This window comes from Homo sapiens, chromosome 9 (genome assembly GCF_000001405.40).
Source record: "Homo sapiens chromosome 9, GRCh38.p14 Primary Assembly".
Lineage (NCBI taxonomy): Eukaryota > Metazoa > Chordata > Mammalia > Primates > Hominidae > Homo > Homo sapiens.
This window is the reverse complement of record NC_000009.12, coordinates 129,488,504-129,515,463: the sequence shown is the minus strand read 5'-3', so window position 1 is coordinate 129,515,463 and position 26,960 is coordinate 129,488,504. Positions and strand designations below refer to the sequence as shown.

Genomic DNA, 26,960 nt, shown 5'->3' with positions numbered 1-26,960 from the left:
GAGCCTGCAGTGAGCTGTGATCATGTCACTATACTCTAGTCTGGGTGACCAAGTGAGAGCTTGTCTAAAAAAAAAATAGCATATTAGACCCAATTTTAAGAGGGCCAATAAATGTAAAGACAGGTCGGTAGAAATTATCTACATAAAGTGTTGCAGGATCCTTGGGGTGTCACTTTTTTAGCTGGAAACCTCTGGACTGTGGCACCTTTGCCTGAGATTTGCTCAGGCCCACTAGGCTCGTTCCACCCACTTGGCCTGGTTGCACTCAGCTCACTCTACCAGCCTGGATCTCATGTCTGCCAAGGGCGAGCCAGGTGTGGAGTGGCCAGGGGTGTGTGAGCAAACAAACATGGGGTCTGGCCACTGCACACAGGCATACCAGCTGCTGCAGCAGGGTGGACAGCTCCAGGTGCCAGCATCAGTGCTGGCTCTCTGTGAGGCTGTGACTGGATCAGACACACTGCAAGCATCTTTCAAGGCTGCCACTGGGGAACATGGTGGTGCCCAGAAGCTTGGAGACTCTGGGAACTGCAGGGCCCCAAAGAGGGGGTCACAGCCCTGGCTTGGGGAGTTCTCAGGTCTGGGCTCCCTGAAGGGCTGTGGCTCTTCTCTACTTCTCTTCACTCACAATGGATGTATTTCAGCCTTGTTTGTGTTACAGCTCTTTCAGCCTTACCATTTGGCTGGTCCCAAGTTCTTGTCCTGTGTCTAGGAAGAATTAAGTGGAGGGGCAGCAAGGCGAAAGGAGCTTTACTGAGTAACAGAATAGCTCAGAGGAGGCCCTGGAGTGGGTAGCTCCTCTCTGCAGCTGGCCTTCCTGACCTCTGCTCAGCTCTGGCTGAGCCTGGGGCTTTTATGGGCCTCAGAGGGGAGGAAGTACACGCCAATTGGTCCATAGGCGGCCATGGGCAGGCCCAGAAAAGGCACCACAAGTTTCCCACTTCAGTCTGCAGGACTGGCAGTCTGGCCCCCAGCCTTCAGGCCTTCCCTGGCCTGAAGGTGGGACCTCACCAGAGACCCACCCCCTTCTGCCCAGGAAGCTGTCTGCCTCCTGCTGCCATTCATGGCACCCAGGCTGTAGGTGCCAAGGGGCACCTGCAGGCCAGTGCTGAGCTGCCCTCAGCCCCCATCAGCTTCCCTCCTGTGCTCGTTGGTGCCCAAAGTCTGGAGGGGGCCGAAGTGGCTGGGGGCTGGCGTGTCAGCACTGACCTGCTCATGTTTGGGCCCTGCAGCTGCACGGGGCAGAGTGGGGTGCACAAGGCTTCTGCCTGCTCCATGGATTGGGAGGCTTTGGTCTGCAGCTGTAATGTGGGTGGCTGCAGCTGCGCCTGGAAGGGCAGGGCTTCTGCCTGCTCCTGCCCCTAGCAGGAGCCCAGGGAGCCCTGGGTCTGCAGCCACAACTTGGGTGGCAGCTGTGCCTAGTGGGGTGGGGTTTCTGCCTGCTTCATGCAGTGGGAGGCCCGGGTCCACAGGCATAACTTGGGTGGCTGCGGCTGCATCCAGGGAGCTCCTGCCCCACTAGCTCAGAAGAGGTGGGGCTCCCACCTGTCTGCAGTTCCTGCTGGCTCCATGGAATGTGCAGCCTGGCTGCACCTCCCCCTGCAGCTGGTGTGATGGCAGCGGCCACTCCAGATGGGCCACCAGTGTCATCAGAAGCACAAAGAGAAGTGATTGAAAAATTTCGCCTCAGTAAGTTGTGGGGCAGGATAAAGCAGTCTAACATATATTTAATTGGCATTTCAGAGGAGAAAAGAGAGAGAAGAAGACAGGAAAAAAATTATGCTGAAAATATTCCAAGGTTTATTGAAAAAAGAAAATTAATCTACAGATTCAGAAAGTTCAGTGAGCCCCAGCCAAGATGAATGCAAAGAAAGTCCTATTTAGGCACATCATGGGCAGACTGCTGAAAATCAAAGAGAGAGAATGTGGAAAGCAGCTGGGGTGAGTGGGGTGGGAGGAGACAATTATACATAGGAAAACAACGCTGCAAAAGACTGCAGACTTCTCATAGAATCAATGAAAGTCAGCAAACAATGGAACGGCATCTGAAAAGTGATGAAAGAATAAATCTGTTAACTCCGAATGGTATCAGTGAAAATCTCTCTCAAAATGGAAAAATAAAACTATTTGGGGATAAATAAAACAGAGAATTTGTGGCCAGCAGTCCAAAGACTGTTTTTCTTTTCTTAAATTCTTTAAAAATTAATCCACCTTTTAAAGTAAAAATAACAATGCATTCTGGGATCTATAAGACATACAAAAATAAAGTATATGACCACAATAACACCAAAGGCCGGAGAAGATGTGATGGCATTACATATATATATATATATATATTTGTTTATTTAATTTATTTATTTATTGAGACGGAGTTTCGCTCTTGTTGCCCAGTGTGGGGTGCAACGGCGCAATCTTGGCTCATTGCAACTTCCACCTCCCCGGTTCAAGCAACTCTCCTGCCTCAGCCTCCTGAGTAGCTGGGATTACAGGCATGAGCCACCATGCCCGGCTAATTTTGTATTTTTAGTAGAGATGGGGTTCCTCCATGTTGGTCAGGCTGGTCTCGAACTCCTGACCTCAGGTGAGCTGCCCGCCTCGACCTCCCAAAGTGCTGGGATTACAGGCGTGAGCCACTGCGCCCAGCCCTGGCATTATATTTTTGTAACGTTCTTACGTTATACATGAAGTGGTGTAATATTATTGGAAAGTAGACTGGATATTGAAGAATGCATATTGTAACACTCCAGCAACCAAAAATATAAGGAGGCATAGCTAAAAAGTAAGTAGAGAAGATGGAATAAAATATTTTATTAAGTCTCAACCAAATAGAAGGCAGTAAAGGAGGAACAAAAGAGGGGGGACAAATAGATAACAAATAGCAAGATGATAAAACTTAAACCCACCCATAATGATAAGTATATTACATATGAAAGGACTAGGCACTGCCATTGAAAGGCAGATATTGCCAGACTTGATTGAAAAGGATCTTAGCTGAATTCTTGTCTGTAAATGGTGAGAATTAAATGAGACTGTGAATCAAAGCACTGAGCACAGTGCCTGGCCCACACAGGAGGCTTCTTCAGTGAAAACTCTGAACATATTCTAATAAGAGTCCTGCTTTCCTTCACGCCTGTCTGTGAGCTCTGTGGGGAGGCCCCAGAGCTGAGCATTCATCTAATCAGCCTTTGTGGACCTCCAACGTCATGCCAGACAGATGGGGCCCTTATCACCTGGCAGTTGCATGTAGGTTATATGTCTACTTTTCAGGAACAGTGAAATGACCCCTCCTCCTGTGCCTCCTCCAAAGAGGAGTTGGAGAAGGAGCCAGGGCACAAAGAGACAGATTGTCAAAACCATGCCTATGCCGGGCATGGTGGCTCATGCCTGTAATCCTTGCACTTTGGGAGGCTGAGGCAGGCAGATCACTTGAGGTCAGGAGTTTGAGACCAGCCTAGCTAACATGATGAAACCCTATCTCTACTAAAAATACAAAAATTAGCTGGGCAAGGTGGCACGCACATGTAATCTCAGCTACTCAGGAGGCTGAGGCAGGAGAATCGCTTGAACCCAGGAGGTGGAGGTTGCAGGGAGACGAGATGGTGCCACTTCACTCCAGCCTAGGCGACAGAGCGAGGTTCCATCTCAAAAACAAAACACGACAAAACAAAACGAAAAACCATGCCTAGAGCTGAGACATCCTGAGGCTGGCTGGGGTCATCGGCTTGTGGTCAGTGTAGCCACCGCATGTTGGCCCACACCCTCCCCTTCCCTGGAAGCTGAGGCCAGAGGTCTGCCCATTAATCTCCCAGTGCCCCAGGGCTTCATGGGAAGCCCCTTTCCCCAGAGAAGCTCTTGTTCTCTAGCGTGGAAGCCCAGCTCCTTACTTATTCCTGGAGTCTAGCTCCCTCTAGTCAAGCCAGAGTACCCAGCTTTTGGTCAGGGGGCTGTACGTGTGGGGCAAAGGGCAAAGTGGTGTCCAGGACCTGGAGCAGGAAAAGCTTGCATTATGCTCTGTGTCAAGCCAGTGGGGGCTACAGGTCCTGGGTTACTACTTGCCAGTTGGTGGTTGTGTGGGCAAGGAAAGGGGGATCATGGGTGGGACCCTGAGAGGCACTTCTCATTCCCCTGTGAGAGGCCCCACATCTGGCCTCTCCAGACAGACTCCATGCTGGATAACAGTTGGGTTCAGAACTTTAAGGAACAAATTGCTGTTTCCAGCTCAGCTGTTCAGTCCATTGGGCTCCTCCTCTTCCAAATCCCCTATCACTAACCCTCCTGCCGCATGAGGGTAACCTCTACCCCTATTTCTAACACCATGGAGTAGTTTTGCCTGTTTTTGTCCTTTATATATGTGAACTATTTTGCACATTAAGGTTGTAGATTCATCTATATTGTTGTGTACGGTTTGTTTATTCTTAAAGCTGATCAATCATCCCCTGTATGAATGAATAGTCTATAATTTCTCTCTGTTCTAAAGCCGGAGGATATTCAGATTCTTTCCAGTTTAGGGCTATCCTGAATAGTGTTGGTGTGAATATTCCAGGTTATGTCTTTCTTTCTTCCTTTTTTTTTAATTGAGACAAGATCTTGCTCTGTCACCCAGGCTGGAGTGCAGTGGCGAGATCACAATTCACTGTAGCCTCCACCTTCCGGGTTCAATCAATCTGCATGCCTTGGCCTCCTGAGTAGCTGGGACTACAGGCATATACCATCATGCCTGGCTACTTTTTAGTAGAGACGAGGTTTTGCCTTGTTGCCTAGGCTGCTCTCGAACTTCTGGGCTCAAGCAATCCTCCCTCCTTGGCCTCCCGATGTGCTGGGATTACAGGCATGAACCACCTCACCTGGCACAGGTTACATCTTTTGATGAACACGTGGATGCATTTCTTTTGCCTGTATGCCCAGGAGTGGAAATGCTTGGTCAGAGGGCAGGGTGTGTTCAACACAATTAAACCTTACGGATGCTTTCGTGGTGGTTATACTAATTTAGATTCCCATCAGCAATGTCTGAGAGTTCTGGTTGCTCCATATCCTCATCAGCACTTGGTATTGCCAGTCTTTTTCACTTAAACTTCTCTGGTGTCTGAAGCGGTAGCTCACTGTGGTTTTGTATTCTCCTTGCTATTGTCCGAATGTTTGAGTTTCTCCCAAAAACTCATACGTTAAGACTTAATCGGCTGGGTGCAGTGGCTCATGCCTGTAATCCCAGCATTTTGGGAGGACGAAGTGGGCGGATCATGAGGTCAGGAGTTCGAGACCAGCCTGACCAACATGGTGAAACCCTGTCTCTACTAAAAATATGAAAATTAGCCGGGCATGGTGGCACACGCCTGTAATCCCAGCCACTTGGGAGGCTGAGACAGGATAATCACTTCAGCCCGGGAGGCAGAGGTTGCAGTGAACCAAGATTACGCCACTGCACTCCAGCCTAGGCAACAGAGTGAGAGTCCATCTCAACAACAACAACAACAAAAAGACCTAATCACCAAGGTGATGGTGTTAGAAGGTGTTAGAAGATGGGGATCTTTGAAAGGTGATTAGGTCATGAGGGCTCTATCCTTGTGAATTGGATAACTGCCCTTATAAAAGAGGCCCCAGAGAACTGTCTTCCCCCTTCCACCATGTGAGGATACAGCAAGAAGGTGCCATGTTTGAAGCAGGGAACGGGCTCAGGCACCGGATCTACTGCTGCCTTGATCTTGGACTTCCCAGCCTCCAGAACTGTGAGCAATAAATTCCGTTGTTTATAAATTTCCCAGTCTAAGGTATTTTGTTACAGTATCCTGAACTGACCAAGCCACCCCCATGAGTCATGAAGCTAGCAGCTTTTCGTGTATTTGTTGGCCTCCTAAGTACTCTTGTTATGAAGTACTTTAATGCAAGCCCTCCCCCATTTTTCTCTTGAATTGTCTGCCTTTTTCTTTTTGGTTTGTAGGAGTTCTTCATATATAGTGGGAAAAAATCATTTGGGATGTGTGTGTGTGCGCACACGCAAATGCATGCATGCACGTGTTTAAAAGGCCAATATTCTCTGTCCCACAAATTCAGAACACCACAGTGGTTGGGCCATAATTGCACTGTGGGTGGTGGCAGGGTTTCAGACAAAAGGCATAATAACATGTCACATAAAATTAATCTGATTTGAATCGATTTTGTACGTGATGGGTCAATTTGTCTTGGTCTGATGCTTGTATAAGAGCTACAAGGAGTTTATATCTCATTTTATGCTTGCACATGTTTAAGTAATACACAATAAAAATCATTTAAGGCAACAGTGAGGGCCCAGGAGATGCCCTTCTTCTCTAGGTAAGCAGGAGATTCTCAAAACACAAATCCAATCTGTGACTCCCCTGCTTAATGCATCTCAAAAGATCCTTTTTTTGTCTAGGATGGAGATGAGACTCCTTCCCCTGGTAGGCGGCCTCCTCGGACCTGCTCCCCTGCACTGTTCACTGAAGCCGCCGCCTCCTTCTGGGCATGGTCTCTCCATGTCTTCTCTCTCCACATAAGCCCCCAGCCCCTGTTTTGGAGCAGCTGCTGCCCTGACCACCCCTTTTGCTTAGACTTAGCTCAATCATCCCTTCTCTGGGAAGCTCCCACTGTGGCCTCTGAAACCACCATCCCAGCTGGGCACTTTGCTTCCTTTTTTTTTTTTTTTTTTGAGACAGAGTCTCGCTCTGTCGCCCAGGCTGGAGTGCAGTGGCGCCATCTCGGCTCACTGCAACCTGTGCTCCTGGGTTCACGCCATCCTCCTGCCTCAGCCTCCCGAGTAGCTGGAACTACAGACGCCCGCCACCACGCCCAGCTAATTTTTTTGTATTTTTAGTAGAGACAGGGTTTCACCGTGTTAGCCAGGATGGTCTCAATCTCCTGACCTCATGATCCGCCCGTCTCGGCCTCCCAAAGTGCTGGGATTACAGGCGTGAGCCACCACGTCCGGCCTTTGCTTCTTTGCATAATCTCAGCTGAGATTTATAATTTACTTGTGGGATTCTCCCCTCTCAAACTATAAGTTCTGTGAAGACAGAGATGGTATTTTTTTCTCCTCACTTTATTTATTTATTTGAGACAGAGTCTCACTATGTTGCCCAGGCTGGAGTGCAGAGGTGCAATCTCGGCCCACTGCACGCTCCACCTCCTGAGTTCAAGTGATTCTCCTGCTCAGCCTCCTGAGTAGCTGGGACTACAGATATGCACCACCATGCCTGGCTAATATTTGTATTTTTAGTAGAGACGGGGTTTTGCCATGTTGGCCAGGCTGGTCTCAAACTCCTGACCTCAGGTAATCCACCTGCCTCTGCCCCTCAAAGTGCTGGAATTACAGTCACGAGCCACTGCGCCCGGCCTTCTCCTCACCTTTTTCTCCAGTGTCCACTCCAGCATGCAGTATTTGATAAGCGCTCAGTAAATGTTTGTTGAATGACTTACTAACCTGAGCTTGTGTTAACTCTCTCACTGTATTGATTCTGAAAGGCAAAGAGGGCCCAAGGTCACATGTAGGGAAGGGCCAAAGGCAGGACTGGAGCCCAGCAATTCTTGTTCAACCACACGGAATGGGAAGTAAAGTCCTCTTTGGCCAGCAGCAGAGGGGCCAGGTCCCCCTTGTCATCAGCCTGGAAGACCCTAAAGGATCATCTAGGACAATTCTTTCATTCTTTGAATGGGGCATCTAAAACTGAAGAGTGGACAGGGATTGTCTAGAGTCATACGGTGAAGGTGATCCGGAAGTTCCGCTAGAGAACACAGCAGATTCTATCCTGTAGAAACACAATGGGTTCTACCCAGATTGCCTGACACTCAATATTCTTTTTTAATTAAACTAAATTAATTAACTACTTTTTGAGTGCAGTGTTGTGATCTCAGCTCACTGCAACCTCCACCTCTCAGGTTCAAACAATTCTCCTGCCTCAGCCTCCCGAGCTGCTGGGATTACAGGTGTGTGCCACCACGCCCAGCTAATTTTTGTATTTTTAGTAGAGTCAGGGTTTCGTCGCGTTGGCCAGGCTGGTCTTGAACTCTTGGCCTCAAGCAATCCACCTGCCTCAGCCTCCCAAAGGGCTGGGATTTCAGGCGTGAGCCACTGAGAGGGGCTCTGACACTCAACATTCTTTCCAGTATCCCCAACTCTCCTGGAGGTGAAGGACTAAGGGGGTGGGGGCATGGCTCTCAGACTCCAGACTGACAACCTAATATTGAGGCTGGGCTGGGAGTGGAACCGAGATTTCCCAGCCTGAGGCCAATGGATGACAAGGGCCTTTCTTGTTCTCCTCCAGAGCCTCTTCTGGAGCCCCACTAGGGAATTCCTGTCCTTGGAAAAGTGGGAGAGGACCAGAACATTCTGGAATAAAGACTGGAGACATTCAGAGTGACGCAAGAAGTACAGTCCACAGTGGAGGAAAACTCCAGCTGCCAGGCAATTGCCCGCTGGTCCCTGGCCTGGTCTAGGTGGTTGTGGGGGAAGGGGAGCTAACTGCAGTGACTCACTTAACCCTTTCCGGGCAGAGGAAGATAACGCTTTTTAATTGAAGAAATTTTTTAATTAAAAAACATTTTTTTGACGGCTTCTTGTTGAGCAGGGCTACCCCACAGGCCATGTGCCTAGAGTGGCCTTAATTGAAATTTTTGTTACAATCATTGTAGATTCCTGTACAGTTATAAGAAATAAAACAGCCGGGCGTGGTGGCTCATGCCTGTAATCCCAGCACTATGGGAGGCCGAGACGGGCGGATGACGAGGTCAGGAGATTGAGACCATCCTGGCTAACACGGTGAAGCCCCGCCTCTACTAAAAATACAAAAAATTAGACGGGCGAGGTGGCGGGCGCCTGTAGTCCCAGCTACTCGGGAGGCTGAGGCAGGAGAATGGTGTGAACCCAGGAGGCGGAGCTTGCAGTGAGCCAATATCGTGCCACTGCACTCCAGCCTGGGCGACAGAGCGTCTCCAAAAAAAAAAAAAAAAAAAGAAGAAATAAAACAGAGAGGCTGGGCACAGTGGCTCACGCGTGTAATCCCAGCACTTTGGGAGGCCGAGGCAGGTGGATCACCCAGCCTGGGCAACAAGAGGGAAACTTCATCTCAAAATAACAACAACAACAAAAAAGAAAACAGAGGGATCCCAGGTACCCGCCTTCACTCAGTTTCCCCAATGGTAACATCTCGCAGAACTACTGGGCGCCATCACAGCCGGGGTCTGACTGCTCTTGCTCAGGTTTCCCCGGTTTTCCGTATCCTCACGTGTGTGTATTTACTTCTGTGCAATTTTATCGCAGGCCAAGGCAGGCGGATCACCTGAGCTCAGGAGTTTGAGACCAGCCTGGGCAACATGGTGAAACCCTGTCTCTACAAAAAATACAAAAATTAGCCGGACACGGTGGCACGTGCCTGTAGCCCCAGCTCCTTGAGGGTCTGAGATGGGAGGATCACTTGAGCCCAGGAGGTGGAGGTTGCAGTGAGCCCATATTGCGCCACTGTACTCCAGCCTGGGTGACAGGGCGAGACCCTGTCTCAAAAACAAAAACAAATAAACAGAATGAGAGTATGCAACCTTTTGGGACTGGCTTTTCCCCTCAGCAGACACCACTTTTCTTGAGCACCTTGATCTCATAGTCCCAGGGACGGCTTCTGTTATTCCCATTTTACAGCTGAGCAAACTGCTCCCCAACGCCCAACCCCCAGAGCCAGCGCTCATGATGGCTAATTTGGGGAGCATCTCCTCCAGGAGAGGAGGGCAGGGGGTTGGGCGGAGGGCTGGGGCCAGAGCCTTCCCCAGCCCTGCTGAGACCCAGCTCCCTCTTCTGCAGCCTGTCTCAGAGCGGGGTCTCCTTTGTGCCTCCCACCCGCTCCCCAGGCCCGTCTTTTCCCTCAGCAGAGAGGCAGTGAATGGGGGCCGCTGGGGGCCGAATCTGCTGGCCCGAGGCCCAGCTTGGCCACAGAGAGGCTGTGTGACTAGCACGGTGGCCCCATCCTCTGAGCCTCAGGATCCCCCTGGGTAAAACAGGGGGAAGGGTCACACCCTGCAAATCCATGAAGATGCAATGAGGCAACGTGTGAGGCGCAGTCAGCGAAGTGCCAGGCGCAGAGTGAGCCCCCAGCGCACGCCGCGGAGAGCCGCCCGCAGCCCCATTTGGCAATGAATTATGTATGGCCTTCTGGCAGCCCTGCGTGTGGGGCTGCAAGCTCCCTCTGCTCCCCCCTGCTTCTCTTTCCGGTGAGGGGCGCAGGCTCCCCCGGGGGGGTGGGCAGTGTTCTTTGTCTCTCCTGCAGGGACCCCCTATCAGCTTCCCAAGGCTAGTGCCTCAGTGCCCAGGATGCCCATTTCACAGGCTGGAGAACCAAGGGCTGGTATAGCTCAGGGTCTTTTTCAACAGACACTAATAACAATAATAGAGCGCCACCAGTAACAATAATAATCACCATCGTACCTGCTGGGCTTTGTTTTTCTGTGTGTGCCAGACACATTTAACAGAAAATCCTTCATCCAACAAAAATGTCCACCTGTGCAGGCACTGTCCGAGGGGTTGGGGGCATAGCCCACAACCGAACAAAGTCTTGCCCTCACAGAGCTCGGGTGCCACTGTGGGAGAGCAGGAAATTAATAAATGAGTAATTTATGACATAAAATGTCAGGTGACAGAGGCTATGCAGGAAGAGGAAAGAGACGGGGTGGTCAGGGAAAGCCTCTGTGAAGAGGTAGCATTTGAGCAGTGCCTTGAAGGAAGTGAGGGAGCCCTCTCAGGAGGTATCTGGGGAGGAATGTTCCAGGCCAAAGGAACAGCCAGTTCAAAGGGCCTGGGGTGGGACCTGTGCCTGTGCCAGGCTCACCAGTGCAATGGGAGGCATCAGATTCTCAGAACAGCCCTGGGAGGTGCATGCCATCACTGCCCCATTGTAGAGATGAGAAAACTGAGATTCAGAGCCTATTTAGAATCTTTCCTCGTCTGCTTTATGCATATGCATAAATGTGTTTGGTTGGGGGTGTTAGGAAATATGTGATATGTATCACATCATCTTTCTTTCTTTTTTTTTTTTTTTTGGTGGTGGGGGAATGGACTCTTGCTCTGTCGCCCGGACTGGAGTGTAGTGGCGCGATCTTGGCTCACTGCAACCTCCGCCTCCCGGGTTCAAGCAATTCTCCTGGCTCAGCCTCCCGAGTAGCTGGGATTACAGGCATGCATCGCCACGCCCGGCTAATTTTTTTTTTTTTTTTTAGTAGAGACAGGGTTTCACCATGTTGGCCAGGCTGGTCTCGAACTCCTGACCTCAGGTGATCCGCCCACCTTGTACTCCCAAAATGCTGGGATTACAGGCGTGAGCCACTGCACCTGGCCCCATCTTTCTACAACTGGGAAAATTCTGAGTTCTGGAACCATCTGCCCAGGGATTTGGGGTCAGAGATGGTGGGCCTTTCTGATCCTGGTCTTTGCCATGGTTATGATTGTGGCATCCCTGCCTGTCTTCTATCATGTGCCTCAGCCTGTTTTTTTTCCTTTGCCAGGCTGCAAGCCCCTGATATCAGACTAACAGGAGCACAACATTGCACGGTCTAAAGACACTACATTAGGGTGAAATTTTGTTCTTCTATCTTCCCCCCTTGCATGGAGAGGACCCTCATTCCTGCCCCCACCCTCGCTTCACTGTGCCAGGCACAGGCAGAGCCCAGGTGCTGCCTCTGCTTGTCTGCAGTTGCCGACGAGGCCTGCGCTGAGCATTTTGGCAAGTCTGGAGAATTGAAGGCCCAGGCCCTTGGCCCTATCACCGCAATGCAGGCCCAGAGGTGGCAGGCGGGAGCTCACCGATGGATCTGCCAGTGTCAGTCCCAGAGCGGACCCCAGAAGTGTTCAGGCGTGGACTCGCACTGTCTGACATTTCCATCGATGGCCTGCATGAGGAATGGGCGGTGAGCATCCTCCTTCCATCTCCAGCTGGGGGTGGAGGGTGTGAGCCTGCCCGCCGAGAGGAAGCCAGTTACAGAATCAAAATGACTCAGGCTGGGCTCTGTGGTGCGTGTCTGCAGTCCCAGCTGCTCTGGAGGCTGAGGCAGGAGAACTGCTCTAGTCCAGGAGTTCGAGGCTGCAGTATGCTATGATCATGCCTGTAAGTAGCCACTGCACTCCAGCCAGGGTAACACAGCGAGACCTTGCTTCTGAAAAACAAAAACAAAATGACTCACAGAAAGGCGGAGTGGCCAGAAATCAGGGACTGGGAACCTGTGGGGGAAGAAAAATCACTCAGCAGTGGTCTCCTCCCAGCCTTCCTGCCTCCAAGTTTGCCCCTCTAATCCGTCTTACAGAGCTTCCAGCTTAATCGTTCCAATTAATCCTCCTACCTGAGCCAGCAAACCTTCGCTGTTGCTCCTACTTGCTTCCAAAGGCAGTTCAGTGTCTGGCCCCACTGTCTTTCCAGGGTGTCCTCCTCCTCCCGGAACACAACTGGCTGCCCACCGGCTGGGCGCGGTGGCTCACGCCTGTAATCCCAGCACTTTGGGAGGCCAAGGCCGACAATCACCTGAGGTCGGGAGTTCGACACCAGCCTGGCCAACATGGTGAAACCCTGTCTCTACAAAAAATATAAAAATTGACCGGGCACGGTGGCTCATGCCTGTAATCCCAGCACTTTGGGAGGCCGAGGCCTTGGGTGGATCACAAGGTCAGGGGATCGAGACCATCCTGGCTAACACAGTGAAACCCCGTCTCTACTAAAAAAAATACAAAAAATTAGCTGGGTGTGGTGGCGGATGCCTGTAGTCCCAGCTACTCGGGAGGCTGAGGCCGGAGAATGGCATGAACCCGCGAGGCGGAGCTTGCGGTGAGCCGAGATCGGGGCCACTGCACTCCAGCCTGGGCGACAGAGCAAGACTCCGTCTCAAAAAAAAAAAACAAAAAACGAAACAAAACAAAACAAAAAACAAAACAAACAAACAAAAATTAACAGGGCATGGTGACACACGTCTGTAATCTCAGCTACTTGAGAGGCTGAGGCAGGAGAATCGCTTGAACCTGGGAGGCGGAGGTTGCAGTGAGCCGAGATCACACCACTGTACTCCAGCCTGGTGACAGAGTGAGACTCCGTCTGAAAAAAAAAAAAAAAAAAAAGAAAGCCTTTGTCCATGCTGTTCTCTCTGTCTGGAACAGCATCACACTTGCAGGCCAGCTCCACATCAGAGGAGACCCTCTTTCTACAACTCTTGAGGGCCTCTCCAGTCCTCCAGCCCCACTCCATTCCACATCCTCACAGTCAACACAGCCCCACTTGCCTGGACTCTCAGAGCAGTCTCCCAATAGGCCTCCCTGCCTGGGGATAAGTCCCAGCTCTCAACCTGGCACTCGACGGCCTTCCTGATCAGCTGGGCTCCAGCCTCGTGATTCCCACCCACTGTTTGACCTGACACAGCTGCTTAAGTTTCTCTAGTTCTTCTAGATTACCCTGTTCTCCCACTTTGAGACCTTCTTATGTGTAGATTTCCTCTTCCTGGAGCACTTTTCCCTCCCCTCTTGGCCCGCCTAACTTTTACTCATCTGTCAGGAAGCCATGTTGATTCCACCTCCTCCAGGAAGCCTTCTTGGATTTAGGGTCCCTCCTGTTGGCTCCCAGAGGTCCCATATCCCTTGCATCATCACAATTCCTCCTCCAGATTGAAGCTGGCTGCTTTGCCAGTCTCCTCTAGGCCATGGTCTCCTGAGGACAGAGCCACACATTGGCCTCTGTCTCCCCCAGCTTGATCAGGGCAGGAGGTGCCCAAGAAAGCCCAGAAGGAAGGAGTGGGAAATGGTCCCGCACATGTATTGAGCTCCCGCTCCACAGTGAGCCTTTTACTTGCAGCCCAGTAGCCTGGATGGCTCGGCCTTTCTGACATGGAGTTAGGTCACCATCTGGTCACAGCCTGCAGCCCCAAGCTCTTCTCTTTTCATCTAGATAGTGGGCATAACCCTGGATCTTAACAGCCTGTGAGATGCAAGGAAACACCAGACGCCAAGGGCTCATCCCAGTCCCGGGTAGATGATTTTAAGCATTTCGTGTTCCTATCATTGGTCGTTATTGGGGCTCTGGAGCCAACCTCTGTGGCTTCAAATCTTGGCTTCTCCTCTCCTGGCTGGGTGACTTTGGGCAAGTTACTTAACCCCTCTGTGCCTCAGTTTCCTCATCTGTAAAATGGAACTAATCATAAGCTCATTTTCTCTGTTTCTCAGGGCCCTGGAGAGGATTATAACAATTGATATGCATGCAGAGTTTGCACAGCACTTGGTGCAAGGGCTGGGCAAATGCTGGCTGTGGTTGTTATTATCTCGGGGTCACCCTGAGCATCTGATACCAGTGAGGAGACTCTGGCTTCTGGGGAATCTTCCAGAGCTGCAGATCTGAGCCTGGCAGGAGGAACTCTTAGACCTTGTGAAGACTGAATTCCTGTCCCCTGAAGCTCTTGAAACCATCCCATCCATGTCTGCCGGTCAGAGTCACCAGGAAGTTCTTCCTTGTATCTATCCTAAGTCTTTCCTGCGTTGATTTCTCTGGGTTCCCATCCAGGCCGGATAGGAAGACGAGGGAAGGAGCCTTAAGGGTGTCTCAAGCATCAATCCCAGAACTTCCCAGCTCAGCTCAGAAGCCAGCAATGTGAGTCTCTGGCTCCTAGGGGGCCAAGAGCCAGGAGGGGAGGGTTTGCCTGGCTCAGTCTCCTTCGAAGGTCTCCCAGCCACAGCCAGATGCAAAACCACCTTTGTTCCCTGAATTTCAGGCCGTGGGAGGGAATGGGGCCAGCGCCTGGGGTGCGGCTGGGGAGGGAGGAAGAGATGCAAGGATTGAAAACTCGAGGGAGGCCTAGAGCAGCAGGGAGGCAGGACAGGGCACCCTGGGCAGCCAGATAGGGGCAGGGGTGTGGGAAACAGAGGGCGCAGAGCAGGGGCCAGCGGGGCTGGGAATAGGAGCCTCGGGGAGGCCGGTGAGGCGCGGAGAGGGAGGCCTCATACCAGACACTGTCTAGACGCAGCAATTATTGTCAGCTCGGAACACCCAGGCTCTGCCGGTTCAGCTGAAAGGGAGCTTAACAAAGAAGCAAGGGAGGAAGAAAGCAGGGAGAAAAGCCGGCTCCTGGCCTGTCGGGCTCTTTCTCTGCCTTGGCCACCCCCCTTTGTGTTCCACCAGCCCTGGTGGGGGGGACCCCAATGTGAAAGCACAGCTCAGAGATGCCTAATGGGGACACGGCTCCTCCTGGGCCCAGGGGGCCTGGCCAGGATCACTGTGTGGGTTTTTGGGAGGGAGAGGAGGGTGCTCTGGGCTGCCTCCTGCACGTGTATTTCTTTATATGGAGGCAGTGAGAACAGAATTCCCAGGGAGACAGCAGGCCTGAAAGTTTGAATCGCAATTCCCGCAGCTTCCTGCTGTATATATAGCTCTGGGCCGACTACAAATTTCTCTCAGCCTTGGTCTTCTCATCTGCAAAATAGGGAAAAGAACACTGCCTGGGCCAGGCGCGGTGGCTCATGCCTGCAATCCCAGTACTTTGGAAGGCTGAGACGGGTGGATCACCTGATGCCAGGAGTTTGAGACCAGCCTGGACAACACAGCGAAACCCTGTCTCTAATAAAAATACAAAAAATCGGCTGGGTGCGGTGGCTCATGCCTGTAATCCCAGCACTTTGGGAGGCTGAGGCAGGCGAATCACCTAAGGTCGGGAGTTCGAGACCAGCCTGACCAACATGGAGAAACCAAGTCTCTACCAAAAATACAAAATTGGCCGGGTGTGGTGGATTGAGTGCAATGGCGTGATCTCAGCTCACCGCAACCGCTGCCTTCCAGGTTAAAGTGATTCTCCTGCCTCAGCCTCCCAAGTAGCTGGGATTATAGGCATGTGCCTGTAATCCTTTTTCCCTCTTTGCTTCCATCCCAGGGAGAGTCCTTCATGCGTTGGATGGGACCTTCAAGGCCCTAAGTTTTTGTGGCTGCAGAGTCAGCTCAGAGCCATTTGGGCCAAACTCAACAGACCCACAGACAGAGAAAATGTGGCACATGTTCTCGGGCTCAGGGCTGCTACGTGGCCTTTTTCTCTCTCCTCCTCTCCCTGGCATTCTTTGCAGTTTCTGGGACTTTGGGTTCCTCTCTGGCTTCCACTTTCTCTGGGCCTCCCAGAGTCTCTGTGATTGTCTAGACCTTCATTCTCCTGCCACTACCCCAGCCACTGTCTGGAACCTGACCTTGGCTGAGCCACTGGGCCTGGTATTACAGGCAGCTCCAAGCTCAGGAACCCCAAGCTCCATCCTGGGAGAGGACAGACCAGGTCCTGAGTAAGAGGTAGGCAGGTGGCCCTGGACGCTGCCCTCCAGCCACTGGGCTCCTTGAGGAGGGGCTCAGATGCTGCTCCAGGGTTCCAGAGTGACCAGGGCTGGGGGTGGATTTTCAGAGGAGCAGCCCAGGCCCTCCTCCATCCATCATTTCCTAGTCTGGCCTGGCTGGGCCATTCCCTGGTCCTGGAGAGGTTGGAGGTGTCCCATGGGTTGTGCCTCAAGTGGAGGGCAGGGCACTTAGTGCAAGGGACAGTCTCACACACACTCACACTCACTTATACACTCACTCACACACGCACACTCACATATACACTCTCACACACATTCACACTCACACACATATACACTCACACTCACACATATACACTCACACACTCATATACACACACACGAATACTCACACACTCACATTCATATACACACTCATACACACACACTCTCGCACTCCCTCTCATACTTTTACACTCATTCTAACACACACACATGCTGTCCCAGAGCTAAGGCCCTGACACCTGCCCCAGTGACACTCCCCCACCACCAGCCTGGGTCCCTGGCTGCTGGGCACCCTCACTGTGTCTAGAGCTGGAAGCTCCCTTCCCCTCTCCCGCTCCCACATGCCCATAGCTGTCCACTGCCTGCAGATCCAGGGCAGACCCGTCTGCTTGCATCAGAGGCCCACCTCTCTGGAAGATTCCGGCATGTCCCACCATGTCACATGTGGCCCACCTCTCTGGAAGATTCCGGCATGTCCCACCATGTCACATGTGGTTCTCTTTGCCTGTCTCCTCTCTGCACCTTTGCTCAAGCTGTTCCTCCCCCTGGCACACCGTTCCTGGCTGCCCCCACCATGTCTCAAAACAAATGCCTGGCCTCCCATGAACCTGCTCCCCCATGCTGTCCTCTGCCTCGGGGACAGCACCAGTGTCCACCCACTGCACATGCCAGGGCCCAAGGAGCCTCCCCAGCCCCTCCTTCGCCTCCTTCACCCTCACACCATGCCCTGTCCCCTGTACCTCCCACACTGTCTCAGCCAGCTGCCACCATCTCCCCTGGATCTCAGTGCCACACTCCCAACCGGCTTCTGTGTCCACTCTTGTCCCTACCATTCTGAGTAAGCTTTGGCAATCTAGTCTCTTTTCTCTATAAAACCTTTCCTAAGCTTCCAGCCACCACAAGACAAGGGCTGGTCTCAGGCCAAATGACCCCCTCCCTGCCACTGGCCATAGTGATCCCCTCTCAAGCTCTTAGGTCTGTGGCTGGGGGTCCCCATCCAGACCACCCCTGTCCCTCTTGCCTCCACCAGTCTCTCCTCCCCTCGTCAGCCACCCTGGTCCTCAGGCACCCTCTTCAGGGAGGTCTTCTGCGACCTCTGCGGAGGCCAGGCCCAGGGGACCAGTGCTCCCTGCCCGCTACCCCCTTGTCATTCTTTAATGCCTTATTCATCATGATTTGTGCAGCTACCGTCTCTGCTGTAGGACTGCCCTGTGTGGGCCTGGCTGTGGCTGTCTTGTTTGTCACTGTGTCCCCAGCACCCTCCTGGGGCCCTCTCTGGGTTTGGTTTTCAGCCTGGCTCCACCAAGAGGCAGGAAAAAGGGAGCCCCAGTCCCTCCCACCCTCTCCTCCAGGAAGCCCTCCCTGGAGAGACCCTGGAGTATCAGGGGAGGCCTCCTTGCCCCTCCCCTAGGGCTCCCAAGCCCTGTGTCCCAGTGGCCACCAAAGGGCAAGGACATATTGGCTGGAGAGCCCCCAGAACAGGGCTGCGGCTGCCTTGTGCCTTCCACTCCTCCAAGCCCAGCGCCCCGCCCCACCGCCCCCCTCCCCGCCCCCGCCCGGGCCTAGGTTGATGATGCTGGGGGGCTGCTCTCAGCTGGGGCACCAGGAGGCCAGGATGGAGCTCCACAGAGCCCCAGGGGTACGGGAGAGGTGGCAGTGCCCGCTCCGCATCCATTCCTCCTCCCCAGGCCCTGCCAGCTGGCTTCTCCAGCTCCAACTGGGCTCTGCCTTTCCCTCTCCCTCCATCACCCTGCTGCCTCCCCTCCTTCTCCCCTCCTCTCCTGCTCTCTTTCCCGTTCCCTCCCCTCTCCCCATTCCCCTTCCCGGACCTCCCCCGCCCTCACTTCTTTCCTCTCCTCTCCTCTCTTTTCCTCTCCTCTTTTCTCTGAGTCCTTCTCCCTCGCCTCCTTCCTTTCTTCTTCCTGGGTTAAAAATAATCAACTTTCTGGGAAGCAGCAGCTCCTGCTGAGCCGCCCTCCCCACACTCGGGAGCCCCTGAGAATAGCTTTCTGCGGTTCTCCACTAGAGCCCCTCCCCTCCCCTCGCCGCCTCCCCGCGAGCTGACTAATAAGCCCGGCCGCGCGGTGCCAGCTCGGCTGGAAAGGCGTTAACCACTTCGTGCCCGGACTGCGCGAAAGGGGCGGACCGGCTCCCTGCAGGCCCGGGGGGAGGGGTGGCGGGCGCGGGCGGCCCCGGGACACGGCTCAGGACGAGGCCCTGAGCGGCAGGCGGTAGGCCCTCGATTTTTACTGGCGGTGGGATGAATGTTGACTTCTGACCGCCACGCCGGCAGGTCCTGCTGCTGGTGCAGCTAGCAGAGCTTAGTGGCCTCGGTGGGCGCGCCAGGTGCGACACCCAAGGGATGGGTCGGGGTCACATGGAGGGCGTGGCTGGGCCGGTGAGGCTCTCTCCCCGTGGCCCGAGGGACTCCTAGGTCCTGGCACTGGGCACCGCCTGAGGGGAAGCCGGGGCTGGGACCGTTAAAGTTCGGGCCAAGGGCAGGGAAGGGCTGAAAACTGTCCTGGGATCCAAGGACGTCCACAGCTGGTAGGGTCTTTAGCGATCACCCACTCTGCTTCTTGCAGAAAGGGAAACTGAGGCCCAGAGGGTGTGACTGAGGCCGGGACGTCTCTCAGTTCCTGTCCCAGACTAAGGGAGGCCCGCGGCCCTGCAGCCGACTTTCAGTTCGGGCGCCTCTGCAGGGGTAAGGTTGGGGGAGGGGAGGGTGTACATCAAGGTCAAAGGTGAGGGGTAGGTGGGGAGAGAAGAAGCGCTGAGCTCTGCGGGGTCCCCGTCAGCCCCGCCCACTCCGCGTGGTCCCGGCATTACCTCATCGCGGCGCGCGCTCATTGGCTGGCTCCCCCCTTGAAGGACAGCCCAATGCGGCGGAGCCCGTTAACCCTTTCCGCCCCGCGGACTCTGCCCTGGCCATGCCACCTGCCTCCGCGGCCCCCAAGCGGCTTTCAGGCGCTGGAGGGCCACGGAGAACAGGGAAGGGTAGTGTGGGAGCCGGCTTGAGGCCAGAGAGCACAGTGGTTAGAGCACAGGTCAGACAACTACGTCTTCGGCCCCTGTCCTGCGGCCGGCCGGCCGGCTGTGTGACCTTGGGGGACTGGCTTCACCTCGCCGAGCCTCCGCTAGTTTGCTCAGCTGTAAACAGGTGAATGATGTAACTCCTGCCCTTCCCAATTCCTTCTTCCCGGTGTACTTGCCAAGTGCCAGGCACACGTGGGCTCTGCGTTCTATTCCACCTTGTCTCCTCACTGGAAGAGGTACAGTTATTATTATGGGTTTTCCGGGGAGGAAACAGGGCTCAGGGCAGCAAAGCTGCCTCCCAAGGTCACGCATCAAGAAAGTCACAGAGCTGGGATTTGACCCCGAGTCTGCGGGTTCTGAGCTGTACTCCTCCCCAGGGCAAGATTCTGCTTCTGCTGGGAGGCGCTGCTTCTAGGAGCTCTCCGTCTCTCCGGAAGGAGGGACAGGACTCATACCCAGCTGGTCAGCTCGTGACAGATGCCACTGTGGCCAAATAAAACCAGAGCCCAGGATCTCCATGGACAAGGGACAGGAAGAAGGGTGAGGGCAGGGAGGGGCTGGAGTTGAATCCTCAAACAGGGAGGCAGGAGGACCCTCAGACAAAGGCAGGGGGCTGGACTGAGCCCAGCGAGGGTGCATGGAGTAGGAAGCTCTGAAGAAGCCTGCAGGATCCCCTGGGGGTCAGCCTGCTGGTTAGGGGTCAGCCCAGGGAGGCGGCTTCTCTCTGGGCAGCACCAGGGGTCAGCCTGGGGCAGGAGTGCAAGCCGAGGCCCACATACCTCATGTCTAGGTATTTACAAGTTATAAATCAAGCTAACAAACTGCTAAATAAAATATGTTCTGTTGCCGGGTGCGGTGGCTCACGCCTGTAATCCCAGCACTTTGGGAGGCTGAGGCGGGCAGATCACCTGAGGTCGGGAGTTGGAGACTAACCTGACCAACATGGAGAAACCACGTCTCTACTAAAAATATAAAATTAGCCAGGCATGGTGGCGCATGCCTGTAATCCCAGCTACTCGGGAGGCTGAGGCAGGAGAATTGCTTGAACCAGGGAGGTGGAGGTTGCAGTGAGCCGAGATCACACCACTGCACTCCAGCCTGGGCAACAAAAGCGAAACTCCGTCTCAAAAAAAAAAAAAAAGTTCTGTCCTCCTTCCTTGACAAATACACCTTCATAAGGACAAACACACCTGGAAGGCTGGGTTTGTGTTTAGAATTCTCAGGCTCCTTGGAGACCACAGGAGGAGCTGTAGCGGGTTGGGGAGCCCGCCTCTCAGCCTCTGGCCTCCGGCTTCACACTCGCCTCTTCTTTTCTTTTTGCCCCAGGTTCTGTCCTTTTCCCTGAGGGGCTGTGCATGCTCAGGTGTAGGCACTCCAGGCTGTAAGCACATGTTCTGTCCACACCCCCTGCCAACAGCCACCTCCTGGTCACTCCTGGGGTTTAGGGGTGCCCAAACAGGTGGCTCAGACAACCCTCAGGAGGATGCACACAGGACGCAGGCTGGGGCCATTGAACAGGGAACTCCAGGGCCCCAGGTGCCAGATCATGGTCAAGGGGCCCATGGCTCCAGCTGGAAATGTCTCCCTGGTCCAGGAGCGCTGCCCTCTAAAGCACAGGGCTCAAGTCTGTGGGCTGATGGCCCCAGGGTGCTGCGGCAGCTGGGGTGGCCAGAGCTGGACACGGGGTCTCCCTCCATCCTTGAGCTTGCTCCTAACCATCACCTCCAGCCATGTACCCCCGCCCCAGCCAGATTCCCCATGCCCCAACCAAATGCCGACCCTGGGGAGCTTCCCACCTCAATGAGTCAGCTCCCTTTACCCTGTCCCCACTGCCCCCCACCCTTATCCCCCTTATCCGGCTGCTCCATCTCCCGCCTGCTCCCTGGGCTCCTAGCCCCTACTCTCTGCCTGCCCCCCAACCCCCCTCCGCCACCCTAACCTCCTATCTGCCCTCCTCAGCTCAGCCAGCCAGATCTTTCTAAAATGCAAGGCTGCAGGCTTCCTTCCCTCTCTAACCAGCGCTGGTTCCCGGGCTCTCTACATATCATCCCCAGGCTCTGGAGGTCTCTCCTTTCCTCCCCTCTCCTCTCCTCGGGTTCTGAGCTCTAGCCATTTGGGCCTTCTCTCCAATTCAGTTTTGTGTGCTTTCTGCCTCACGGTCTTCATGCGTGCTACCCCCCTCTACCTGGAACCATGTTTTCTGCTCTTTGTCCCCGGCTCCCCAGACCAGCAGAAACCACATGGCGATGAGCACATGGAGTTATCAGTTTCCAGTGTGTTTCCTACCTGGCCTGCAGGCAACAGGAGGACAGGCTGGGTCAGTGCTGTTCACTGCTCCATCTTCAGTGTCTGGCACAGAGCAGGTGTCACTGAAGTTTCGTAAGTCAGATGCATCTGCACTGGGCTTGAAATCAAGACACCACAGCAGCTAATGTCTATTGTATGCTCACTGTGTCCTGGGCCCTGCTTTTAAGCATATGACATGTATTAGTTCACTTATTTCTCACAACAATCTTTGAAATAGGAATGATTACTATCTCCACTCTACAGAATGAGGACACTAAGGCACAGAGAAGTTCAGAGACTTAGGCTCACAGCTGGCCAGTGACAGACCCCGATTTGAACCCAGGCAATGGAGCTCCAATGCTGAACCACCTCTTGCCATCTAGCCCCAGCTGGGCCAAGGCCTTGCTGTGGGTCCCTGGGCCAGTGTCTCCACTTCTCTGAGCTGCAGCTTTGTTTTTTTTTTTTTTTTGGGATGGAGTTTCGCTCTTTTTGCCAAGGCTGGAGTGCAATAGTGTGATCTCGGCTCACCGCAACCTCTGCCTCCCGGGTTCAAGCGATTCTCCTGCCTCAGCCTCCTGAGTAGCTGGGATTACAGGCATGCACCAACACGCCTGGCTAATTTTGTATTTTTTAGCAGAGACAAGGTTTCTCCATGTTGGCCAGGCTGGTCTCGAACTCCCAACCTCAGGTGATCTGCCTGCCTTGGCCTCCCAAAGTGCTGGGATTACAGGTGTGAGCCACCACGCCCAGCTCTGAGCTGCAGCTTTTCTGTGTGTGCAGTGGAGGGTTGGCCACAGTGGTGATCCCTGAGGTCCCTTCCAGCTCTGGCAGCCTGGCAGCTCCTCTGATGATCCATCCTTCAGGGAGCCAAGGACTCCCCGTGGAGGTCCTGCAGGGATGCCCAAGAGTTGGGTGGCTGGGAAACAGCTCACCGTGTGTTAGGCTGTAGACCTGAGTACCTGGCCAGGGACCCAATCGTCCCCAGCAGTCTTGTCATTGTGACCGGCCTTCATCTCACAGGAACCCAGGCTGGGCTACGTAAATGAACTGAGCTGAACTGCCAGGTGCTGGGGTTCAGGCAGAGACTGGAGGCTAGAAGTTGAGGGGGGCCAAGTACTGCAGTTGGGCTGGGGGACAGTACTTGGGGCAGGGTTGAGCTTGGGTCCCCACACCAAGAGCTCCACAGTCATCTCAGGGACCCTTCAACAACAGCCCTGAGGGCTATGCATCCATTTTTTAGAGGAGGACATGATGGGGAGGCACAGTGGGGGACAGTGACCTGGCCGAGGTCACACAGCAAGAAGGAGTCTAGATTTGGCTTTTAACCACTCTGCCCCCAGCCTTGGGCAAAGGTGTTCAGTGTAGATGTGAGAGTGAACTGATAGAGAAGTTCTAGAAGGGGTCAGGTGCAGTGGCTCACCCCTGTAATCTCAGCACTGTGGGAGGCCGAGGCGGGCGGATCACCTGAGGTCGGGAGTTCGACACCAGCCTGGCCAACATGGTGAAACCCTGTCTCTACTAAAAATACAAAAATTAGCCGGGCATGGTGGAGGGCGTCTGTAATCCCAGCTACTCGGGAGGCTTAGGCAGGAGAATCGCTTGAACCCAGGAGGTGGAGGTTGCAATGAGCCGAGATCGTGCCACTGCACTCCAGCTTGGGCTACAGAACAAGACTCTGTCTTGGGAAAAAAAAAAAAGTTCTGGAAGAAACTCTGGGACATACATATGGGTATATGGGTCCATGTGTTCATACCCATGAGCATGGGTACCCCCTTGCTCCCCATCCCAGCACCTCTCCTTGCCCACCTCTGTCTCACTGCCTTTGTTTATTCGCCTGTGGTCACTGTGGACTCTGCTAGACCCTGAGCCTGTGAGGGCAGCGGCTGTCTTCCTGTTCCCTGCACACCAGCACGTGACTCGAGCACAGGCAGGAGGAAGGCGGATGGAAACACAGGCGCAGCCCAGGGCTGTTCCACCCTGTGTTCAGTCCCTTCCCTCCTTGGGCCTCTGTTTCTCATCTCTGCATATGGGGTAAAATGCCCCATCCTTAGTCCGGGCTCAGGTGAGCCGCTGGGTTCCTACTGGGCCATGGGAAGGGCCCTAATACCTGAAGGGCAGGGAGGATGAGGGCAGGCAGCTCAGCTGCCCTCCCTCCATCCTGGGGCCTGCCACCTCCCCTCTGTCTTCTCCTGATTCCGGTTCCCCACCAGGAAGGGCTCACTGTCCTGCTCAGCAAGTTCTCTCAACAAGCTGGGCAGCCAGGGGGGGGTGCTCTGCTGGACTGGAGGAGCCGATGTGAGCCCAGGCCACCCATGGAGGCTCCCTCTGAAGAGAGGGAACAGACAACCCAGCCACTTGTCAGGAACCCCGATCAAATACCCCACCCCCAAGGCTCAGCACTAAGTGTCCCAGGGGCCTGATTTGCAGGAAGGGCAGCAGGATGCTCACTTGGGGGTGGAACACTCACCTGAGGGAGGAACTGTACCTGCCGAGGCTTGGATTACCCACAAACTCAGCCCAGCAGGAGCCCGCTGGCTGTGCTAACAATGTCCTCTGTGACGTTGCTGAGATTCTGCAAGGTTCTTTCAGTGTTAGCCCATTTTACAGAGGAGAAAGTTGAGGCTCCAGACAGATGTGAGCTTAAGCCTCTGGCCCAGTTCAAGTTTCCAAATATTCCAGAGGCCAGGGCCTGGGGCGGGGTGTGGGGCACCCCAAAGTCCAGGTGAGGGTGACCTGAGGGTGAAGTCTGGGTCTGGAGAGGCAATAGAGGGAGTGAGGACGGCTCCTGCCAGAAACAGGGGAGGGGTGTTTGAGACCTTGAAGGAGGTGGGACTGTGACAGTGGTGACTGTGGGAGGAGTCCGGGTCCAAGCAACAACTGGGAGAGACTTGGTGCAGGGCCCTGAGCTGAAATGGAGGAAAACGGAGCTGGGTGGGTCCCTGCCCTCAATGGGGGGTAAATGCTGAGGCTGGGGGCACGAGCCCAGAGGAGGGCACCAGGGCAGCCCAGACATGAGCTCTGTGGTCTGTGTGTGTTTACTGTGTGGCCAGAGCGTGTGAGGAGTGTGTGGAACCGTCTGTGTGATGTGGGAGTAGGGGGATAAGTGTATTGGCATATGGAGTGGGAGTGTGTATGTGTGCACGCATGCACCTTTGTGCCTGTGATCTGCGTCATGCAGTGTGTCTGTGCCTGTGTGGGATGTGGTCCCTGTGATGTGGGGCGTGTATGTCGGTGTGTGTGTGTGTTGTGGGGTAGTGCTAACCGGGACACTCTCCAGGGGAAGATCCTAGCTCGGATGGAGGTGGAGGAGTTAACCAGGAGAATGGGAGAGGGACCAGCACGTGCAAAGGCCTGGAGGCATGAAGATGGAGCCTGGAGCACTGGAGGACTTGAAAGTGGTCCAGTGAGGCTGGGAGTAGGGAGGGAGAGGCAGGGGCTGGGAGGGACAGGGCAGGCCTTCCTCCACCAGTTTGAATTCCGTTAGCTTGAGGGTGTGTACAGCCAGGAGGGGTGGAGGGGCTGAGAGGAGGCCGAGCCACCACTGACCAGGTGGAGGGGTAGGGGGTGAGCCTGGACCGGGGCAGGTGCTGGGTGGAGGTGGGGGAGTGAGAGCCAGAGCTCTCAACCAAGCCTCTGGGAGGCCGCAGGGCCTGGGATCGCAGACCCGAGCCTAATCCCTGCTCAGCCCAAGAGCTGTAGCCAGAAGGTTCTTAGTTTCCCCTCAGTAAACTGAGGTTCAGGACATTTCTGGGGCACTTGCTCTGTGTGACTGGGCAAGGGCTGGGCAGGCATTTCCAGCATGAACACGCTTTCCCAGGCCCACTGGTTGGAGGGCACCGAGGGGAGAAGGGGGACAGAGGAAAGGAGCCGGAAGCAGGATCCAGAATTTGAACCTAGGTGGTCTGACTCCAAGAGGGCCCTCTCTCTCACTTGACTTCAATAGTGACATTAGCCAACTTCAATAGTGACCCCAGGCGCGGTGGCTCACGCCTGTAATCCCAGCACTTTGGGAGGCCGAGACGGGTGGATCATGAGGTCAGGAGATGAGACCATTCTGGCTAACACGGTGAAACCCCGTCCCTACTAAAAATACAAATAATTAGCCGGGTGTGGCTGCGGGTGCCTGTAGTCCCAGCTACTCGGGAGGCTGAGGCAGGAGAATGGCGTGAACCCGGTAGGCGGAGCTTGCAGTGAGCCGAGATCGCGCCACTGCACTCCAGCCTGGGGAAAGAGCGAGACTCCGTCTCAAAAAGAAAAAAAAAAAAATTGACCCCAGTAGTGACAACAGTGACTCACCTGCCCCATGGGCTTCCAACTGCGATGGTTGTGCTCTCCTTTGACCCTGTATCCTGGGGGACTGCATACGGTAATTATATTGTTACTGCGCCTTTTTAGAGATGAGAAAACTGTGGTCAGTAGCAGAGTGGCCTGACCAGGGCTCCAACTCCCCCGTCCTACTGCAGATGATGTGGGGCAGTTTTCTTAGCACAGGCTGGAAAGCTCTCTTAGGTAACACGTGGATGACAGCGTGTGACCCGGCAGAAAAGAATTGTAATTCCGGGTGGCTGTACGACCTTGGACGGTCCTTTTGCCATCTCTGGGCCTCGATTTACCCAACTGTACAATTCGCCCCGTGAGTCTAGGAAGATTTGCTGAGCGTCTGCCAACTGGCAGATGAGGAACCGAAGTTCAGAGAGTTGAAAGCACTTGCCCCAGGTCAGGCGGCCGGCTTCGAAGCCGGATTCCGAAGGCGTGCCCTGCCCTCGGCCCCCAGCGGTGTCGTCCTGCCCCCAGGGGGCCGCGATGCGGGGCCGTTCCAGGCCCTGCCAGCCTGACGTCAAGCCCGGCCGGCGGGGCCTCGCTCTGCACAAACAGACGCCGCAGGCCAGCGTCGGGGCCGGGGGCGGCGATGACTCAGGGCCCCGAGACGGGCCGGGAAGCGGAAAGTTGTGTGCAGATGACATCAGCCGGCCGCGAGGGCGGGAGGGGGCCGGCTCCGGGAAACGGCGGCCTGGCGGGCGGCCCGGGGCAGGGCGTGGAGAGGCGGCCGCGGGGCGGGGGCGGGGACGCCGGGACGGGACGCTCGGGACCA

At 54.5% G+C, this 26,960-nt stretch overlaps 1 protein-coding gene and 1 long non-coding RNA gene across 10 annotated transcripts, besides 14 other annotated features; both read right to left on the bottom strand.

The window, feature by feature from the left end:
- Positions 1-1,777: 1,777 nt before the first annotated feature.
- LOC124900275 (extensin-like) lies at positions 1,778-25,515 on the bottom strand. 9 transcript variants are annotated; one of them, XM_047424328.1, is made up of 4 exons: positions 24,336-25,515; positions 21,869-22,048; positions 11,792-12,141; positions 1,778-2,045 (listed from the first exon to the last, which is right to left on the bottom strand). In XM_047424328.1, exon 1 carries the CDS (start codon positions 24,981-24,983, stop codon positions 24,381-24,383), a length of 603 nt encoding a protein of 200 aa, XP_047280284.1. In that variant the 5' UTR covers positions 24,984-25,515; the 3' UTR covers positions 1,778-2,045; positions 11,792-12,141; positions 21,869-22,048; positions 24,336-24,380. The 9 variants fall into 9 exon arrangements, with proteins under 9 accessions (XP_047280284.1, XP_047280283.1, XP_047280286.1 ...); XM_047424327.1 differs by having other exon boundaries at positions 21,869-22,045; XM_047424330.1 differs by having other exon boundaries at positions 21,869-21,986.
- Positions 1,778-26,804, bottom strand: LINC00963 (long intergenic non-protein coding RNA 963). Its single transcript, NR_038955.1, has 5 exons — positions 26,165-26,804; positions 21,869-21,986; positions 12,325-13,067; positions 11,792-12,141; positions 1,778-2,045 (listed from the first exon to the last, which is right to left on the bottom strand). It is a non-coding gene; the product is annotated as a long intergenic non-protein coding RNA 963 (long non-coding RNA).
- Positions 16,993-17,560: an enhancer, noted in NCBI's record as "H3K27ac-H3K4me1 hESC enhancer chr9:132260183-132260750 (GRCh37/hg19 assembly coordinates)". NCBI's record gives its function as "activates a minimal SCP1, AML or CMV promoter by ChIP-STARR-seq in naive H9 embryonic stem cells {active_cell/tissue: H9 hESC(naive)}" and the evidence as "EXISTENCE:reporter gene assay evidence [ECO:0000049][PMID:30033119]".
- Positions 17,561-18,129: an enhancer, noted in NCBI's record as "H3K27ac-H3K4me1 hESC enhancer chr9:132259614-132260182 (GRCh37/hg19 assembly coordinates)". NCBI's record gives its function as "activates a minimal SCP1, AML or CMV promoter by ChIP-STARR-seq in naive H9 embryonic stem cells {active_cell/tissue: H9 hESC(naive)}" and the evidence as "EXISTENCE:reporter gene assay evidence [ECO:0000049][PMID:30033119]".
- Positions 18,444-19,242: an enhancer, noted in NCBI's record as "H3K27ac-H3K4me1 hESC enhancer chr9:132258501-132259299 (GRCh37/hg19 assembly coordinates)". NCBI's record gives its function as "activates a minimal SCP1, AML or CMV promoter by ChIP-STARR-seq in naive H9 embryonic stem cells {active_cell/tissue: H9 hESC(naive)}" and the evidence as "EXISTENCE:reporter gene assay evidence [ECO:0000049][PMID:30033119]".
- Positions 18,601-18,800: a silencer, noted in NCBI's record as "silent region_20382". NCBI's record gives its function as "represses an Ori minimal core promoter by ATAC-STARR-seq in GM12878 lymphoblastoid cells {active_cell/tissue: GM12878}" and the evidence as "EXISTENCE:reporter gene assay evidence [ECO:0000049][PMID:35858748]".
- Positions 19,243-20,043: an enhancer, noted in NCBI's record as "H3K27ac-H3K4me1 hESC enhancer chr9:132257700-132258500 (GRCh37/hg19 assembly coordinates)". NCBI's record gives its function as "activates a minimal SCP1, AML or CMV promoter by ChIP-STARR-seq in primed H9 embryonic stem cells {active_cell/tissue: H9 hESC(primed)}" and the evidence as "EXISTENCE:reporter gene assay evidence [ECO:0000049][PMID:30033119]".
- Positions 19,331-19,460: a silencer, noted in NCBI's record as "silent region_20381". NCBI's record gives its function as "represses an Ori minimal core promoter by ATAC-STARR-seq in GM12878 lymphoblastoid cells {active_cell/tissue: GM12878}" and the evidence as "EXISTENCE:reporter gene assay evidence [ECO:0000049][PMID:35858748]".
- Positions 19,481-19,530: a silencer, noted in NCBI's record as "silent region_20380". NCBI's record gives its function as "represses an Ori minimal core promoter by ATAC-STARR-seq in GM12878 lymphoblastoid cells {active_cell/tissue: GM12878}" and the evidence as "EXISTENCE:reporter gene assay evidence [ECO:0000049][PMID:35858748]".
- Positions 20,044-20,843: an enhancer, noted in NCBI's record as "H3K27ac-H3K4me1 hESC enhancer chr9:132256900-132257699 (GRCh37/hg19 assembly coordinates)". NCBI's record gives its function as "activates a minimal SCP1, AML or CMV promoter by ChIP-STARR-seq in primed H9 embryonic stem cells {active_cell/tissue: H9 hESC(primed)}" and the evidence as "EXISTENCE:reporter gene assay evidence [ECO:0000049][PMID:30033119]".
- Positions 20,844-21,644: an enhancer, noted in NCBI's record as "H3K4me1 hESC enhancer chr9:132256099-132256899 (GRCh37/hg19 assembly coordinates)". NCBI's record gives its function as "activates a minimal SCP1, AML or CMV promoter by ChIP-STARR-seq in naive H9 embryonic stem cells {active_cell/tissue: H9 hESC(naive)}" and the evidence as "EXISTENCE:reporter gene assay evidence [ECO:0000049][PMID:30033119]".
- Positions 23,668-24,326: an enhancer, noted in NCBI's record as "H3K4me1 hESC enhancer chr9:132253417-132254075 (GRCh37/hg19 assembly coordinates)". NCBI's record gives its function as "activates a minimal SCP1, AML or CMV promoter by ChIP-STARR-seq in naive and primed H9 embryonic stem cells {active_cell/tissue: H9 hESC(naive and primed)}" and the evidence as "EXISTENCE:reporter gene assay evidence [ECO:0000049][PMID:30033119]".
- Positions 24,327-24,986: an enhancer, noted in NCBI's record as "H3K4me1 hESC enhancer chr9:132252757-132253416 (GRCh37/hg19 assembly coordinates)". NCBI's record gives its function as "activates a minimal SCP1, AML or CMV promoter by ChIP-STARR-seq in naive and primed H9 embryonic stem cells {active_cell/tissue: H9 hESC(naive and primed)}" and the evidence as "EXISTENCE:reporter gene assay evidence [ECO:0000049][PMID:30033119]".
- Positions 24,987-25,646: an enhancer, noted in NCBI's record as "H3K27ac-H3K4me1 hESC enhancer chr9:132252097-132252756 (GRCh37/hg19 assembly coordinates)". NCBI's record gives its function as "activates a minimal SCP1, AML or CMV promoter by ChIP-STARR-seq in naive H9 embryonic stem cells {active_cell/tissue: H9 hESC(naive)}" and the evidence as "EXISTENCE:reporter gene assay evidence [ECO:0000049][PMID:30033119]".
- Positions 25,300-25,594: a silencer, noted in NCBI's record as "tiled region #11907; HepG2 Repressive non-DNase unmatched - State 1:Tss, and K562 Repressive DNase matched - State 2:TssF". NCBI's record gives its function as "represses a minimal TATA promoter and a strong SV40 promoter by Sharpr-MPRA in HepG2 and K562 cells {active_cell/tissue: HepG2 | K562}" and the evidence as "EXISTENCE:reporter gene assay evidence [ECO:0000049][PMID:27701403]".
- Positions 26,599-26,958: a silencer, noted in NCBI's record as "silent region_20379". NCBI's record gives its function as "represses an Ori minimal core promoter by ATAC-STARR-seq in GM12878 lymphoblastoid cells {active_cell/tissue: GM12878}" and the evidence as "EXISTENCE:reporter gene assay evidence [ECO:0000049][PMID:35858748]".